Below are 18,295 nucleotides of genomic sequence, written 5' to 3'. Positions count from 1 at the left end.
GGTTTGAGTTGGTGCTGGTTTGAGTTAGTGCTGGTCCGAGTTAGTGCTGGTCCGAGTTAGTGCTGGTTCGAGTTGGTGCTGATCTGAGTTGGTGCTGGGCTGAGTTAGTGCTGGGTTGAGTTAGTGCTGGGCTGAGTTGGTGCTGGGCTGAGTTGGTGCTGGGCTGAGTTAGCGTTGGGCTGAGCTGGTGCTGGGCTGAGTTAGTGTTGGGCTGAGTTAATGTTGGGCTGAGTTAATGTTGGGCTGAGTTAGTGTTGGGCTGAGTTAGTGTTGGGCTGAGTTAATATTGGGCTGAGTTAATGTTGGGCTGAGTTAGTGTTGGGCTGAGTTAATGTTGGGCTGAGCTGCCTATTTTGCATTTGGGGCTCCCAAAATTCACTTCCTGCTGCAGCGCAGATTGGATGACCTTCAAGGCTCTATTTCACTGACTTTCAGCTTTCTTGACGCCAAAGCCACAGAGCATTCTTGAGTTGGAAATTACCTCTTTGCAAAAGCAAAGAGCACTGTAAAGAACTTGGCCTGCCCACTCCACAGTGATATTCCATAGGCTCAAGTTTCTGTGCCACTTGAATTCTAGCAGTTTAGCTCCCTGCCGTTTACGTGCCAGCAGGGATGAATGTCCTGACAGCGTGTGTCCACTGTGCATGTGCTTCCACTTGTCAGCATGGGCGAAGCCCAAGTATGATGTGTAGACAAGACCACCGCTTCTCTCTGCTCCATTCCTGCACAAGCCACACACAGCAGACTTGTATTTCTGTCAAGGGCTCCGGTTTTCCATCATCTATTTTTTATAGCACTGATACTCAACCAGTTGCAGCAAATGAAGGGTATTATTTCTGGTTTGAGGGCATCGCGATGCTGATTTGCCATTCCTAGGAAGCAAACTCACCGTGTTGGGCTCTCATTTTACCATGGGAGACCCGGCTCCACAAAACGTAAGTGTTTGGAGATGCTTGATATTTTCACAATGTAAATAACAATTTCCCCATGCATGAGGGGGAAGGGTCATATCATAAGATGGGAGAGGGATGGAAATTTTATTAGGTTCAATTTGTGGCAGGGTGACAGTGGGTTGAAGACAAGCAAAATAATTTGCTGTGTCCTTCAGTTTCTTAGTGTATCATTAATCTTTGAGAGAATTTGGGTATATTCTGAAGCAACTTGGTAGCATTTCAGAATCAGTGCCATGTGCTCTTTCTGAAATGTCACATCTCCTCATAGCAATGTGCTCTCCATATAAAGTAAACCTGCATTTTTAGATTTTAAAAAGAGTGATGAAGATTTGGAAACCAAGAAGCTTAGAGGGAACCATTTCTAAAGGACCAGAAGCCCTCATCCTGAACACACACCTCAATACGCACATCCCCTCATGCACCAACAAACACATAGACTTTCAGAATTTCCCTGCAAACTAGCAATAACATCAATTTAGAATGCTTTTCGCTTATAGTAGATTTACTTACAAGGATTAGTTAAATATCAATAACAAATACATGCATTTTAAGTTGCCCAATGTTAAGTTTCAAATCTGTAGCATATTAATTCCACCAGGCCTTTGGTGGTTTTGCAAGAGTTAATGCCCTACAATTCATTTCTCTATGAATATTTTTCACATTTTAGGTGTATAGCTATTATTGCTTTTTCAAGCCTGTGTTTTGTTTTGCCCTATATTTCCAACTGTAAGACTATTTATTCAGCTTTTTGACTTTGTGAATGTAATTAACATTTTAACTGGTAAAAAAGAAAATACCAGTCCAACCCATACAAATTGCTATTTTTCAGTGTTCCTATGTGCCTATGCTTTATCCAGCAGCAAGATCAATAGAACACCAGGGTGGAGACAAGTCAGCTCTCAGCTGCATTATTCACTTGCTATGAACCTTGACAGCTCATTTGCAAGTTCACACTTTTTTGATGCTAGAGTTCTTGAATCCCTGACAGCTGAACCTTCTAACTCCAGCTAACTATGCAAATAGAGAATGGAACCCAGAGGGTCCCCTTGCACTGGTATCACTTCCAACATATTATTTTGGTCAAACACACCAATCAATTCTTCTTGAATGCTTTCTAATAAAAGGAAACAGTATGTGGAGAGTGAAAAAAAGGGAGACTTGAAAGTGTAACAAAATAAGCCTGAACTTTGTGAGAGTCACAAAAAGAATTCAAGGCCTAATATTTAATCAAAATTAATTTAACAAAATTGTATTAAGACTCCTCCCTTAGACCCACTTGGGGAATGTTTCGGATGCTTTTTCTATATAAAGATATGTTTAATCTGATAGAGCAAGTGGAATTTTTATAACCCAGAAAAATTATTTATTCTTAGAAAAGAAAAAATCCTGGACATGTGACCAGATATGGGAAAAAATATTTAGGGGTGACATTTTTTGGCACGAAACAAAAAGAAAATAGTTTTTTTATGAAATACTTGGCAAAGTAGAAAGCTTAAAAATATTTCGAAACTTGCCCGGTTGCAAAACCACACAGCATGTCTTGTTTTTTCTGTTTTGGGAAAAGGAAAATCTCCGGGCTGGGATCGGCTTTATGAATCCCAACACTTCACTTCCCCTGACAGGAATTAGTTAAATCAACTGAAGTCCTGTTGGAATGCCTCGCCTGTCATCTGTTCTGCACAAAAATGAAACACATGGCATTCTAAGAAAATCCCGAAAGCAGCCAATTTCTCAGAAAATATTTGAATGACCCTGGAAGGTTAATGGCACAGTCATTTACACGAAAATTGCTTTAGATGTGGAAAGGGTATTGTTCTAGGGTCAGTAAAGTGTATGTGTCATCTCAAAGCTCCACATAAACAGGCTGTCTCGATTGACTTGGAAGTGGAGGCAGATGTTGAGGAAGGCGTGGACAGCACAAAAACATTCTGTGATTATTGCTTCTTGATGCCGTGGCTTCCCTCTCACTGTTTTCCATCCCGTAGTGTGTCCGTTTCACGAAGCAGTGTGGCTGCCATTGTGAAGGGACACCTGAGCGTGGCCCACACTGGGGAGCGCCTGTGCCCCTCCGCCTCCTCCCTGGAGCTCCCAAATGTGTTTCTGTAGCTGAGCGGAGGGTGGAAAGGTTTGCTTATTGGCAGGAAGCTTCACTGCACTGTTAAAACTGTTTTCCCATTTTACCTCAGAACTCAACATGAGGTCTCGATCTTTAGACGGTGGACAGACCCTGACTTCGTGAAGGTTTTGCATGGTCAATGGGAAAGTCCTTGCCTTCCTCATATCTGCCCACCACGCTGCGGTGCCCATCCCCGCAGAGGCAGCCGCCTTCTCCACGGCTGGCCTGAGACCCTGCTCACGGCCCCACCCCTCGGGTCCCCACCTATGCTCCGAAAGCAGGGTCTCCGAGCTCTCATGGGTCTCACAGGCTGTCTAGGTTTTGACCAGACAGTATTTTAGGTTTTATGTTTCATGACAGAATTCCCCGTTTCTCCCCACTGCCCACTTTATTTTAATGGAATTTCTTTTGAATTGCACCTGTATTGTCAGCACAGGCCTCCCTAAACGGTACAGCCATCCAGGGAGGGCGATGGTTCCAGTAAAGGAGCAGACACATTCCTGACCCTGATGGAGGAGACGGGAGACCACCTGCTCTCCACACCCCCTGTCCCCAGCCACTTTGCTTTCTCCTGCAGCCAGGCCTGGGCTGCTGCGGTTCTTTTCTATCAAACCTCTTTATACCCCCAACCTGGAACTTGAAAGCAGAGGAAATTCTAAGCAAGATTAACCTCTCCTTCTATCTTGCCTTGAAAACAGTAAGGAAGCAATGCTTTTGGAGCACTTAAATAATTGCTGAAAAGGGAAAAATCGTGGGCAATTCTGACACCAGTGAGCATTGCCAGTTCTTCCTTCAGGCACTGTTCTATAGGGAAGGAGGTTAGAAACTCAGATTCATGGATGTTGCTAAGAGCAACCCGGAACTCAGACATTTTTCACTGTGCTTTCCTTGGCATGCCAACTCGAAGGAGAAATGTTAGCAATGGGGCACAGGGAGAAACCGTGCCAGTAGGTATGGTATTGTTAGGTAAAATGGAGCAGCCTTGCTTGTTTGGGGAACCTTTCAGTCTCCCCAACTATGGACTATCGGGTTCCTGATTTTCCAAGTCCCTGCTGAGGGTGGGATGTTGTGTGGATGATGTCTTTCCCCTCTGCAGTGGTTGTGGCACACACAGACGTGTGAACCTTGACCACAGGCTCGACACACCCTGGTGTCATCGGGTGGGTTGTGTTCCAGTGGCCCTGAGCCAAGCAAGACCCCAGGAAAGACTCTGGAAAACTGAAGGGGGCTGGATGTCACCCACAGTACATACCTTGTGCCTGTAACGAAGCAGGCACTGGTTTCATTTAGGAAAGGTATTGTGTCCGAAGCCCCATTTTTAGACTGTTAAAAGTATACAAACAGAAACGAACACCGCCATCATTAACTGACAATCTGCCTTCTCTTCCTACTTTCTCTGGAGTCTCAGGTCTGCCCAGTAACCTCCAGAATGCCCAGTTGCTTTGTGGTCAGGCTTCTTTTACCTTTGCAGGCCCAGGGCACTCACAGACCAGGCAAGACTTTTAAATGAGAACATCAATTTGCTACTTGCTTTAATCCCACCATTGCCTTAGGTGCAAAGCACACTTTTTTATTTTAATAGAAGCCCAGGCTTGCACAACACCACCTTCATGAAGATTGGTCATTTCTGAGGATGACAAAACCACAAAGTTTATTGAGATTGCTCCTTCATTGACAGTCTCTAAGCACTTCAGAAGCAATGACAAGGCAAACTCTGTGGGATGATGACAAGGGTCCCTCGCGCTGCGGCAGTGGAGAGTGTGTCTGAGCCAGGCTGTCTGTGGGGAGACCCCACCCCACCCCTGAGACCTGGGTGACTTGGCACCTGTCCACGGCTCTGCTTCTCCATCCACAAATGGGAAATATCACAGGCCCTGCCTTGTGTGTTATTGATATAAGAACTTGGAAAAGAGCTTGCTGTAATAGTAAGCATGGTAGATGTTGGCTGCAATAAATAATTGTGTTGCTGGGAACTCAGCAACATTAGGATAATATTAAAAATAAAATTTAAAGATTTTTCTGGGATATGTGTTAATTGCAACGGTTAAATAAGGTAAACTTCATGAAGACATGTATAGAATTTTAGTTATCTATAGGTAAACTACTTATTTTAATTCATCATGGACTAAGGGGACAAAATTGCACCCACACACACACATACACACACACAAACGTACACACAGTAAATATTTTCATGATATCGTCTAGGGATGTCAAATTAACAAAAATTAACATAAAAACAGATGCATTTTCAATGAGATTATCATCAGATATTATTTATGAACAGCTTAAATAGAATGAAGACTTGGAAGGATTTGGGGGAAGGCTCGCATGTGAGTGTGTGTGTTTGTTTGTGTGTGTGAGTGTGTGTGTGTTTGCCCTTTTTTCCCTTTGTTTTCAGGATAGTTCCATTTAGAAAAAAAAGCTTTCCTACCAAATTTGCAGATATCTGCAAATAATATTCTGCCAAGAAGCAAAAAAAAAAAAAAATAGTTTACTCTGATTCAATGGAAGCGAATCTCCTAGGATGTCCTCCTAGCAGAGGACATGTTGCTGTTAGAGCACTGACGTATCTGCAGAAACATGCCTTGCTTTTCACCGTGAAATCAGGGCCATCCCTTGAAATAGGCTGATTAGGCAACTGTCTCATGAAGGGATATGAGGACCCCTGGCAAGTTCCCACCAGCCCCCAGGCAGCTCCCCACATCCCATGACCCTCTTTTCCTACCTGGTCTCAAATTCCTGCTCATTAGGTCAATCCTGTGTTTTGAAAATGCACAGGCCTTGTATAAAATTTCTTATAATGTGTCTGAGAGAGGAGTGTGATCCTTTTCTGTCTGCACAGTGTAGAGCCTTAAATGGTCAGATAAGCTGCTGCTGCAGCCATATAAGTTGTAGAGAGCAGTCCCTGAAAGGGAATTCCAATAGTGAAAAGAGTCTGCAACAGAAGATTGTTGCCAAATTTAGAGAAAGAAAGGATCCTCAAGAGCTGGTGTAATGATCAAGGATGAGGGGGACCTGAAGAGGCTTCCTTGCACCCTGAGTGGTTTCAGGTAGAGGGAAGGCTTTGAAGCCCCAGTAGGGAGAAGGCTATGGAGAGAGAGAGCATTTTGGGAGAGCTGACTTTAAAATGCTGGAAATGACTTTGCTTGCCTCTCACCCTTCCTAGCTCCCTCCTCTCCCCATCATCCTATGCAGAGTTGGAAAGGACTGGAAAAGCAAGGAGGAGGTGGGAACGGCAGATGCGAGGGATATTAACACTATGGCCTTTGCTGTGCTGCACCCTTCCATTCTATTAAAATGCTGACCAGTGGCCACACAGGAAGCTTTGTCAGAGGAATTTTGTATGAAATAGGGGGCAAGGAAAGAGGAACTGAATCAGCAAAACCAACCATGAGGCTGCCAATATCACCCTGCCTGCTTCACCCCCACCTAAAACCAACTCTGGGTAAAACAGCCCCAATTTCCCCTTTTCTATATAATTAGCTAATGGTGACTAATTGTAGTATGTAACAAACTAAAAACAGTAAGTATCCACCCAGTTTCCTTTCCGCGGTGTTTGTTCTGAGAAGTAGGTAGGTATCAAACTGTGTAAAGAAAAGAATATATGATGATAACGTTGTCCTCAGTTTGATCTCGCCGCTGTTTTGGTTGTTTTGGGGAGTGTGGGGCAGACCCCACCCACCTATTTATTGTGACATTTCTTTTCTAGAGCGAGAATAGGACAGACTCGTATACCATTCTGATCTGGGTGCATTTCTTCAGAAGGTACGCTGTCCTCACGGGAAACCGCCCGCCACTGCCTGGGTTTGGGGCTGATGAGGCCAGGAAGAAACTTAATGCGTGCACTCTAACAAAAAGATTTCCCAGTAAGTTAAGAAAATAAGACGGTGGGCACCAAAGAATATGCGCATGCCCTGACATCTCCTTGACGTTCACGTACGTGCCACTCCCAGCAGCATGTCTGTCTTGAGAACCTGCACAGACACCCTTGATTTAGGCTGATTGATTTGCAAGAGGGCAGGGGAACATCAGAGGAAATGAGGCCAGGAGAAAGCAAGGATATCAAGAGAACTCGCTTTTTTCTCCCAGAGTGATTGTTTTTGAATTCTTCACTCTGCCTTATTTCAGAGTGGAATAGCAAGCTGTAGGTCTAAGGCACATGGCGAAGAAACTGTAACTGATCCCCTTGTCCTAAAGCGCCTTCCTTCATGCTGCTTCTCCCTTCCCATGTAGTGTCTACCTCTTCTAGAGGATGCCTCTTGGTCACTGATGCTTCACCGGGGACCAGGAACGCCCTTATCCCCAAGCACACACCTTGTCTCAGCCCCTCCAAGCCCCTCCAGCCCACCAATGTGCAGTTTCCTGCTTCTCCACCTGGCTCTGCCCAGTGGGGCTCCAGAGAAGCACGGGATGGGCCCTTGCTCCAATGTCACTGTTCGCTGTTTCGGGGCCAGTGGGCGGACCCCCGCTGGCCTGCTGGCTCCCAGGCCTCCTGGCTCTCTCTTTCTGAAATCATCACACTCAAGGGTTATCTGGATTTTACCACCACCACATATCACTCATCTAACTCAGCATGGAGAAACTTACCCAAATCTATCTCCCCAAAAGCAAATTTATTTAGCTCTCTTACCCCTTCAAGTAGCACTGGTGCAGTCTTTGGATTGCAAAAGAAGAGACACCTAGAGGCTCTGTTTGAGCCACTGTATCAGTTTCTAGAGCGCTGCAACAAAGTGCAACCAATTGGGTGGCTTGAAACAACAGAAATCTATTGTCTCACACTCTACGTGGGGGTGTAGAAGTCTGAGATCAAGGTGTCAGCAGGGCCGGGTTGCCTGTGAAGGCTCCAGCAGCGAATCCTTCCTCACTTCTTCCCACTTCTGGTGGTTGCTGGCAGTCCTTGGCTTATGGCAGCATCACCCATCTCTGCCTGCATTGTCTCGCAATGTTCTTTCTATGGATCTGTCTCCAAATCTCTCTCTCCATGTAAGAATACCAGTCATTGGATTTAGGGCTCACTTTTCTCCAGTATGACCTCAATTAACTGGATTACATCTGTAAAGATCCTGTTTCCAAATAAGATCGCTCTCACAGGTACTGGGGGTGAGGAAGGACTTCAACATACCTTTTTGGGGAACACCACTTGCCCGCAATAGCTACTTTTGGATATTGGGTCATCTCTAAGCAAGAAGCAGCTCCAAATTGTCTACTGTAAGCTCAACACACAGCCTTTGGTTCCCAAACCCAACACTCATCCCTTCCCACATCTGCAGAACTGACCCACTCTGCAGGGGCCCCAGGAGGGGGCCTAATGTCTGTGGGGCAGGACTGACCCATGTGGTCCAGGCTATTTCTGAGTAAAGCCAGAACCCAGAGGACTAATAACCCCTCACAGTCACATAGGCACTTTGGTCTCCCTGAGAAATCATGAACCTCTAAAACCCTGGAAAATATCTATATGAATATCCACATAAGCCTGGAACTTACTTTTTCCTAAGTACTATGATCATGCTTGTAATAGGTGACTCTTCTCTGACACTCTCTCGGTCACACTTTGATGCTCTTCCTATTCACACATGCTATTGAGATTATCTTCCAAGGGAATGAGTTTTTCTAAAGCCTGATGTGTCCTCTTGATTGTTCTGACTTTGGAGAGTGACGGAATGCCTGGGAGTTTACTTATTCTCATGCACATAATTGAGAAGATCACCCATCTCCACTGAACTTTCCATCTTCTACTGATGCATTACTTTCAAAAGGAAAGGGTTAACTTCCTCAGTAGTAAATCAGGTTTCACATGTGCATATTTTGCAAAAAAGGAGGTCAGATATTGGAGCACAGACATCAGATTTTGAAATTTATTATCCACAAGTTACAATAATAATTTTGTGATACTCTTTGTCCTCCATCTGCACACTGATTTGATTGTATATCTAGAGTGAGACAGAGAAACAGACATATATATATATATATATATATATATATATATATATATATATAGAGAGAGAGAGAGAGAGAGAGAGAGAGAGAGAGAAAGAGAGAGACAGGCAGGGAGGGAGGGAAAGAGATAGGCAGGGAGGAAGAGAGAGAGACAGGCGGGGAGGGAGGGAGAGAGATAGGGAGGGAGGGAGAGAGACAGGCAGGGAGGGAGGGAGAGAGACAGGCAGGGAGGGAGGGAGAGAGGCAGGGAGGGAGGGAGAGAGATAGGGAGGGAGAGAGATAGGCAGGGAGGGAGAGAGATAGGCAGGGAGGGAGAGAGAGAGATAGGCAGGGAGGGAGGGAGAGAGGGAAGGAGAGAGATAGGCAGGGAGGGAGGGAGAGAGGCAGGGAGAGAGGGAGGGGGAGAGAGATAGGCAGGGAGGGAGGGAGAGAGACAGGCAGGGAGGGAGGGAGAGAGACAGGCAGGGAGGGAGGGAGGGGGAGAGAACACTTTCTAAAAGCCAGTGCTTGGTTATTGCATCAGAGAATCTCACTGAAAAAATAAATTCCAAGAGGCTTAGTTAGGTATGGCAGGGCAAAGATATTTTATAAATATTTTGGCAAGTAGAGACAAGAGAAAATGATGCGTGAGGTATTTTCAATAGAAGCCAATTGAGCTTCCTCATTTGCATGAAGCATCTGAGCTGTTTTCCTAAGTTCCAGTTCCTCCTCCTCAGGTGGGCAGCCTTACAGCCTCTGCATTTGACTCTGTCAAGATGAGACTGTAGTAAAGTGAGCTCTTTGTATCATTGATGAAAGAAAGAAAGGATTTAAATTAACCATTGGGACTGAGTTAAAATAAAATAAAGCTATAAAAAGATCATGGCTGCTTGACCATGAGAAAAACCTAGAAAATAGTCATTTGCATGAGTCATTTGTTCCCCGAGAACAGCATTCTGTTGAATGGTGTCCATGAGGAAAATGCTCAAATAGATACCATTGGTTTTTTAAAAAATTATTTCATCAGTAACAATGCAATTTGGGTACAGCCTGATCTGCAGCTACGTCAGGCTGCAGCCTTTTGAGGCTTCACAATGGCTGATACATACTCACCTGTTCCCAGCAGGCAGCCAGGTACCTGGATGTCCAGCTCCAAAGGCACAGCTGCATTTAACGCCTGGACCTGCCCAAGTCTGTGACCTCTGGGACTCTAGGGGCTGACCTGTTCCCTTGTTCTAGCTCTGGGATAGCCCAGTGCAAACTTACTACTGCAACCCGGTTGTCCTCTCCATGGCCTGCAGCTGTTCACCCAAGGAGTGCCTGAGCATCCTTTCTTGGAGGAACTACAAAGAGACTCGCTCAAGGACTTCCTGTCAGCAGCAGAAATGCTGAGTCATCAGTATTCTGTTACAGTTCATTGAAAGCAGTGCTGACAGTGGTGCGGCCAGATGGACAATAGTGAGAGCTCCAGGGCCCCAGCTCAGTGCTGCACACAATGGGTGACACCAAAGAAAAGCTTTTATTAAAATAATACAGTCTATAATGAAGAAATTAAATTTTACAAAACTTCAACCCACTCTCCAGATGATTAAATGAATTATTAGGAATATTTCTTTTCCAAAAAAAAAAAAAAAAAAGAAAGTATATTGACCTTTAAAAAAAAAAAATTAGAATTACACTTTCCTGGTTTGTACCTTGTACTTGCACATCATTGTTTGGAGAATATTTTTCCATATCATTAAAACATTCTTTGAAAATGTAAACTTCACAGATCGAGACCATCCTGGCTAACACAGTGAAACCCCGTCTCTACTAAAAATACAAAAAATTAGCCAGGTGCCGTGGCAGGCACCTGTAGTCCCAGCTACTCGGGAGGCTGAGGCAGGAGAATGGCGTGAACCCGGGAGGCGGAGCTTGCAGTGAGCCGAGATGGCTCTACTGCACTCCAGTCTGGGCGATAGAGCAAGACTCCATCTCAAAAAAAAAGAAAAAAGAAAATGTAAACTTCACTAGCTACAGAAGGAATTAGACAGTAAATAAGTAAATTACAATACACCCCAATGACAGAATACGAAACATTGATATCTAATGTTAGAGCCAAAAGTTCTTCTACACTGCGTGTTATATTTTTCTCACTTCCCTGAAAAAAAATTACATAAGTTGTACTGTACAAGAAATGTTTTCTTTTCTCTCTACAAAGTAGATCATGATAATTCTAAACTTAGGCAGAACCATCTGGAATCTGAGTCATTAGACTAAGTAGAAAGAAAAAGAGGAAAAGTAATGAAGCACTCCCCCAGGAAACTGAAGAGCTGTACTATTCCTTGTCTTTCACAGAGTAGAAATTAGGGAATCTGAGCAAATGTTAGACTGGATGATTTTCTGGAACTAACTGACCTCGAGTACACAGATCCACGTGGCTACAGAACTGTGGTCATCACTAGACTGGACAGTGAGGAGTGTTCTCCCCACATCAGCTCCATAAGGACGAAGCAGGCAGAGGAGGCCCTGAGAGTCTAGTTCCCCTTGTTACTTATTCAGAAAATGGAAATACGGATGGAAACCCTGTCTATAGTTCCTTACAGGGCAGTCCTCTGAAACCGGGGATTTGCTGAGCGGGCCCAGAAAGAGATGAGTAGAAAGTTAATGAAAAAACTAGATTTTCTCTCATTTTAAAATATGCAGACTTAAAAGTTAGTAGCACATTACCCTGAACAAGAGTTTTACTTGTTGAATACCAGTGGAACTTATACTTCACCACATAAGGAAATAAAGGAAAGTGGGAAATAAGAAGCAATTTCTATGACTCAGAGATCTGCCCTTCCTGTAGGAAGATGAACAACCGCCATTTATAGAATTCTTCTCATGTGCCCATTCACTGTGCTAAATGCATTACATCTATGATTTAATCCTCACAACAACCACTGGCAAATAGGTATTTTGTCATCCTATTTGACAGCTAAGGAAGAAGAGATGGAAGGGCTGACTTCATTCATTCTTCCACTTACTCCCCTCAGAAAACATGCATTTGGCTCCTCGTGTGCACCCAGCACAGTTCCAGGGCTGGAGATGCCACTGGCAGCAAGGCCATCATCTCTGCCCCTCAGGGAGCAAATGGCACATGCAGCTGGGGTTTGCATCTGGTCTGCCTGGCTCCAAAGCACTGAAACCAAACACTAAATGGGCGATTTAATGAGAAACCTGGGAGATGTCACCCTGGGAGAGAAGAAAATAGCATTGCATCTTAATTAATTTTCTCCCTGATCTGAGAATCGCCATGATTAACTTTAGAATTAGGAACGACTCCGATTAAAATAATGAGTGCTCCTGCGCATCCTTTTGTGATGACAGGTGAACACAGAAGGCATTCAGTTAACCAGATTTAGAAACAAGAGCCTGTGGTTTTGCTGCTTCACCAGAAATCATCTTACCGACCACCATGCTTACACAAAACAAATGGAGAAAGAAGTATTACCAGTTTTCATCCAGAGCATAAGAGATAAGAGCCATCAAGATTACTAGAGCTAGATGGAATGGCAAAGACAGGACCCTAGCAAAATACTTCCAACTGATTCCCATCCAGAAATACAGGGGTTTTTGGGGCAAGCCAAAAGCCTTAATCAACCCTACAGTCAGGTGAAAACATTTGCCTAAGTAACAGACGGTAGAACCAGAGCTTGAAAGCATGGAGTCCTGGTCAGGTTCTGTCCAGCACGCTACTCAGTGGACTTTCTCGGGGAGCACAGTCACTGGTTTTGCATAAAACCTTCCAGGCTCCATAATGGAAGGGAGAACCTTAGCTGAATCGAGTTCTTGGGCAGGCTGGATAGACCCGCAGACTCAGAAAGCAAGCACTGGGTTTTCACAATAGAAATATGTTTTTGAACATTCTAATAATCACCACAAAAGTTATTCTCCATGAGTTTACTGAAAAAAATCAATTATAAGAAATTGACCATGTATAGTTTTAAGTGTTTTTCAATGTCTAACTCCTAGTCAAGGATTATACCATAAGGATGGGTTTAATCATAAAAGCCAACCATATTCCAGTGAAAGTCATCAAAGAAAACATAAAATCTGTCTGGAGCAGATTCAGGGACAAACATTAATCAGTAACTCAAAACAGTGATTAAGGTGCATTTTTCTGAAGCTTTATTTTTTCTGAACAAGCTGTTTATCTTGATTTATGTTAAAATGTGTAGCAAACCTGGTCGTATCAAAATAAAATAAGCCTAATCATGGGACATTTTTGTAAATCATGCTTTTTGTTACAAAATGGTTTAATAACCTTGATAAATAGGGCTGGTTTCCTAATGAAAGCCTATTTATTTACAGAAGCTTGTTGAAATGAAGTTAATAATGTCTTCAGGCTTTTCTTTTTTAATGTAAACATGATCTGATAAAAGCTTAATTTAGTAATCTGATAACAAAGTTATTAACCTGTCACTGATTTCAGAACAATCAAATACATTGAAATAAATAAGATTTGCTAAGTATAAATGCCTGACACAAACGTATAGTTAAAAAGTCAATTACCAAATTTATTGAAATCCTTTTAACTTCTACTTGTATGTGAGTATTGTTACTTTGAAGGTAAATCATTGACAAAATCCATTGACTGCACCTATCTGGTTAGCTGTAATTGTGACGGCATAAGCAATAGGGTCGTTAATACAAACGTGGACAATCCTTAAGAATCTGTCCACTCTTCAGAGGGGATGAGAATTTGCTCTGATGAAACTATTTTGATCACATCAATGTAGGTTGAAGTGAATGACTCGTTTAGTAGCCATGGAAATCACACCAAGCAATACAAAGAGATGAGCACGTGTACTTCCAGATGCTGCTGCTTTTGTGGTGGCGTCTGTCCAGGGCTTCTGATCTGTTCAAAGCGTACTTAATGTCCCTAAATCCAAACTCGCTTGGTTTTGCTCTCCCTTTACACTGTAGTTGATTCTCTGTAATAGCCTCAAGTAAATATAAAACAAGGCAACCCAATACTTTACCCACAGGACCCTATGTTCCTTCCAGAAATGTGTCTCCTATTTAAAGATGCATGCCCAAATGTGCTAAAACAGACCCTCCTCCCGGATGCATCTCCATAGCTTCTATTTCTGAAATCCCTGGTTTATGTCCAGGCTTCCATACTATATTTGTGTCTATTTTTCCTTCATCTGTTTCTATAACTTTCTAATATATTAATATTTATACATTTGTAGAACAAACCGTGTAAGAAAAGAACATCAAGGAAATAAGCAAGCAATATTCTGGTTCATTCAAGCCAAGTCTAGTGGTGTAACAAAATATATTATATATATAATATATTATACATCTAAATATCCTTATGTTTCTGTATATGAGGTTTCCAGAACTATTGTTTGTTAGCTTAAGTAACAGAGCTTATACAAAGTAAGCATTGTAGGTTAAGTATCTTGGGGGAATGGGTCTTTTGAAAAATGGTCCCTGAAAACTTTGGTTATTATTCTATTTAAAGTCAAATTGTACTATTACATTCCTTTGATATTTAACCCATATTTATTGCAAGCCTGTTATACATAAGGTACGATGAAAGACACAGATGTGAATAAAGCATGATCCCTGCCCTCAAGAAAACACCAACATAAATAACATAAAGTAAGACAAGATGAAGTGGCACAGAAAAGGAACTATATTAGTTTAAATGAGTGAGAGGGATTTATGTGGTTTTCATAGGGGACTATTTTGAGATGGACTTCTAAAACTGTGTGTAATTTTAAGAGTAATTAGAGGTAATCTCAACGAATAAAACATCTCACAAAAGATGAATCAAAATCACACCTGCCTCGCCACACCAGTCATGGGCTCCTGGAAGGCAGGGATTCTTTTGGATTATCCTGACACTCCTACTACCCAGAAAATATCTGACACAATGTAGGCATCTGGTTAAAATGTGCTAATTAAACTCAAATGAAGGCTAAAACATGAAATGTACAAAAAAAGGAGCAACAAAAAGTTCAGTTTGACTAAAAAACAAAAAAAAACTGAGAAGGAAAATAAATTCTTGAAAATTAGGTTAGGATCATGTTGTGTTGGGCTTGGTTTAGAATTTATTAATAGATAATGTGAAGTCAGTGTTCCTTTCAAAATATTAGCCTTGCAATTGCAGCTTGGAATTAAAAGGAGAGAGATCAATATTAGGGGGAGAACTAGGGACAGGAGAGCCAATGAAAAGATTATTATGATAATTTATTTGATAAAATAAAATTAAAACGACAGAAATGACAAACCTGAAATTAGAAGCCATATTAATAAGTACTATATGAACAACAGCAAAAACAAAGATCAAGACAATAATAGCCCACATTTATGATCAATCCCTATGTCCAAGCACAAAGTTAGAATTTTGATTAATTACTTGGGGTTCTTGCCACACAAAGTCGTTACTCCCAAGTTTATAGGTGAGGAAATTGAAACTCAGAGAGATTAGCTATGTCAAAGAAGCTCTGCTAGAATCTATATTGGGATGCTAAATTAGACGGCAAGTATGTTTGACCCACTGGCATAGAGTTCTACATGGTAGGTGGCAGAACCCACATTTAGAAGCTTTCTCAAATGCCGCTTCTCCTTTGAACACAAGTGGGTAGTTAGAATATCCAACAGCAGTGTAATAATTCCAAACAAGAACCTCTGCAGCCTGGCGCTTTTTGCAGGATAATTTCCATCCTTTTGTAACTAATGGATTATAGCAGGCTGTGATGGTTTCTAGCTGTTGACCCCAAAAGGCTGAAGTTCAATATAAATATTAACAGGAGAAATGCTCAAAAATAGATCTGCCTAAATCCCTTTTTGAACTAGTCAAAGATTTACCATAATTGATAAAAGAAAAAAGCCTCTTCATTAAATGATAAACTGGCAACACCGTCTTATGTATGATTCTTTTGTTTTTAAGTACACTGAGCATGAAAGATATGCAAGGTGCTGAACTAGGAGCAGTGAGAGATAAATGGTGAAAAAGACACTATCCTTAATCTCACAGATGCTGCGGTGAGAGAAACAGACGTGAAGGAAACTAGTATTTAGCATTGCTCAAGGAAAGTGTTTTGAGAACACAGAAACAAAGAATAATCAACTCAGGAAAAGGAAAATCTTGAAAGATGGGTAGAATTTTGTAAATAAAAAGGTCAGGGAAATTCTACATCCAGATTCGGGAAACAGCATGAGCGTCCATGGTGGATTCCAGGGAGAGCAGATAGTCTGGCAAATTGAGAGAGGTGGCCGAAGACGAGAGTGAAAAAGGAGAATGGAGTCAGGTCATGGGGTGGCCTTGAGGTCACACTAAATTGTTAGAAGTTGACCTCTCAGACAGCAGAGGCCCCCCATACTTTGGCTAGGTATTAGGAAGAGTCCTCAGGCAACAATATAAATGACAGTGAAGAGAGGTAGGAAAGTTAGGTTAGAACACCCACCGGAGTTCTCAAAGGCAAACTCAGTCTCATCACCGGTTGGCCCATAGGATACTGTTTTGTGGGTTAATTCTGCAAATATCACAGCACTCTAGAAAATACTAGATTAAAGGATAACTGGTGGCTATGAAGACTATTAACTAGCTGCTCATCCTTTTGTCTTTTTTTTTTTTTAACTCTCTGGGCAGTGGAATATCCCAAGTATTCAATAAAAACATGCAAAAGTTGTCCCAGCACAGCTTAAGATCAAATTTATGGTGTTTCCACTCCCCAAACACCCAAACATCATCAAAAAAAAGCCAATACTGAAAGAAAATAAGAAACAAGAGGTAGGTTAAGAAACCCTGGATCTTTTTCATACTAAGCTTCTTTTATTGTTAACTTCACTTGGAAGTTGAAACAACGAAAGGCTAATTTATTAGACCCTTGAAAGCACTTCCTGCTGTTCAACAGTACAGAAATCGGCATGCCGAGTAGAGGAGGAAATAACTTGGAATGTCAGGTGCTGATCAGTAGATGCCAAAAACACTGAGAAGGGTTGCTTCTTAGTTATCTGTTCTTAATGTACATGGCACACCAAGAAAAGTTTGAAGTAAGCAAAGTGATTGAAAATATGTAGCTGCCACGTGGCTGGAGCCCATGGATTAATATACTGAGGTTCCTCTTCCTTATTCCCTTATGAGCCCAGGACCTTGACGTTCACTGAAGAAAGGTCAGCGTGCTGCCCTGTGTCTATGAATTACTTTCTTTCCTCAACTCCACAGAGATAGTGGAACTAGAAAGATGCCTGCTTTAAAAAAGAAACATTACAAAACTTCAAAAGCTGTTACATTTCCAAGCATGGATAAGACACACTCCCTACCTCAAGCCCCCAAATTCTGTATGCCTTAACAAATACTGGAAATTACTCTAAGGAAATGAATAGAATAAGACTCAGACTACTGCTTGGAGCAATCAGCATCTCTGCTCTTTCTGGCTATTTGAGTGCACTGGTACGGGCTGTCCTTTCTTCTCCCAACTTCCCTTAGAGCCTCTGAATTATTTTCTCACGAACCTCATGGAAATAGATTGCTCTGTTAAATACATTGCTTAGGTTTTAGCACATTAAAACATACCCTGTTCTATATGATCCATGATGCAAGCTAAATTGGTGCTCCTTCTCCAAAGACATAAAACTGTTTTCAAAGTTCTTAAGGGAGACAGAGTGAAACAGTCCTTGTCTCTGTGTTTTCAGCGAAGTTGCCACCATGCTACCAGCAAGAAGCCATCTGTGTTATGTCAGGTGCTTGCCTCTATGGCCAGAGTTGTGCCCCAAATACGATATGCTTTTAGTGGCTGTGGGATTTATTTTATTTTATTTTTTTTTAATGGTTATTGATTTATTACAATTTTATAAATTAATTTACTAATTTACAAATAACTTTCTGAGCTCTTACATGTGCAGGCACTGTGCTAGGCCTGTTACAAACTCTGGAGAACTGAGTTATCCCCATATACAGATGCAGATACTGAGGCCCTTTGGGGTTGGGTGACAGCTCAGATCGGCTGTGGGATTTATTAATTTCTCAGATGTTTGCCTTCTTCCCACTGTGATGACATGAATACAGCTCTGGCGCATTTTAGCTACAAAACAAAATAAAATTATACTGAATCTTAGAAAACTGTTTATTTTCCTGGGCACTTTGGGTAGGCTTTTGGGTGACATTAAAAGTGTTAAAAGCTCATGCTGCTGGTTAGTAGGCACTTAATATCAACAATATTATCAGTGATTCAGCCTTTAATTAAGAAAAAAGAGTCAACATTCTTAGCCAGAGTATGGGTGTGAAGGAGGAGGTTCCTTATGGGCTCTTCAAACAAGACTCTTT

The 18,295-nt window shown here is 42.2% G+C and overlaps 1 protein-coding gene across 38 annotated transcripts in view, besides 2 other annotated features; it reads left to right on the top strand.

Moving 5' to 3' along the window:
• Positions 1 to 18,295, top strand: part of SORBS2 (sorbin and SH3 domain containing 2) — a 370,850-nt gene that overhangs the window by 215,437 nt on the left and 137,118 nt on the right. For 2 of the 38 annotated variants that reach the window (NM_001394261.1, NM_001394253.1), the window contains exon 1: positions 719 to 935. The exons of 35 other annotated variants lie outside the window; for them this stretch is intronic. The gene's annotated coding sequence lies outside the window, so the exon portion shown is untranslated. Of the gene's footprint in view, positions 1 to 718; positions 936 to 6,781; positions 6,838 to 18,295 lie in introns of those variants that run through there. One more of the 38 variants, NM_001395207.1, reaches the window with a different exon arrangement.
• Positions 3,268 to 3,837: an enhancer, noted in NCBI's record as "H3K27ac-H3K4me1 hESC enhancer chr4:186658253-186658822 (GRCh37/hg19 assembly coordinates)". NCBI's record gives its function as "activates a minimal SCP1, AML or CMV promoter by ChIP-STARR-seq in primed H9 embryonic stem cells {active_cell/tissue: H9 hESC(primed)}" and the evidence as "EXISTENCE:reporter gene assay evidence [ECO:0000049][PMID:30033119]".
• Positions 11,358 to 11,555: a silencer, noted in NCBI's record as "fragment chr4:186650535-186650732 (GRCh37/hg19 assembly coordinates)". NCBI's record gives its function as "represses an EF-1alpha promoter that drives an FKBP-Casp9 reporter gene in an ReSE screen in HepG2 liver carcinoma cells {active_cell/tissue: HepG2}" and the evidence as "EXISTENCE:reporter gene assay evidence [ECO:0000049][PMID:32094911]".

The sequence above is a fragment of the Homo sapiens genome, chromosome 4 (genome assembly GCF_000001405.40).
Source record: "Homo sapiens chromosome 4, GRCh38.p14 Primary Assembly".
Taxonomy (NCBI): domain Eukaryota; kingdom Metazoa; phylum Chordata; class Mammalia; order Primates; family Hominidae; genus Homo; species Homo sapiens.
Note: the sequence above shows the minus strand (reverse complement) of the source record. Positions and strands in the feature narration are given on the sequence as shown.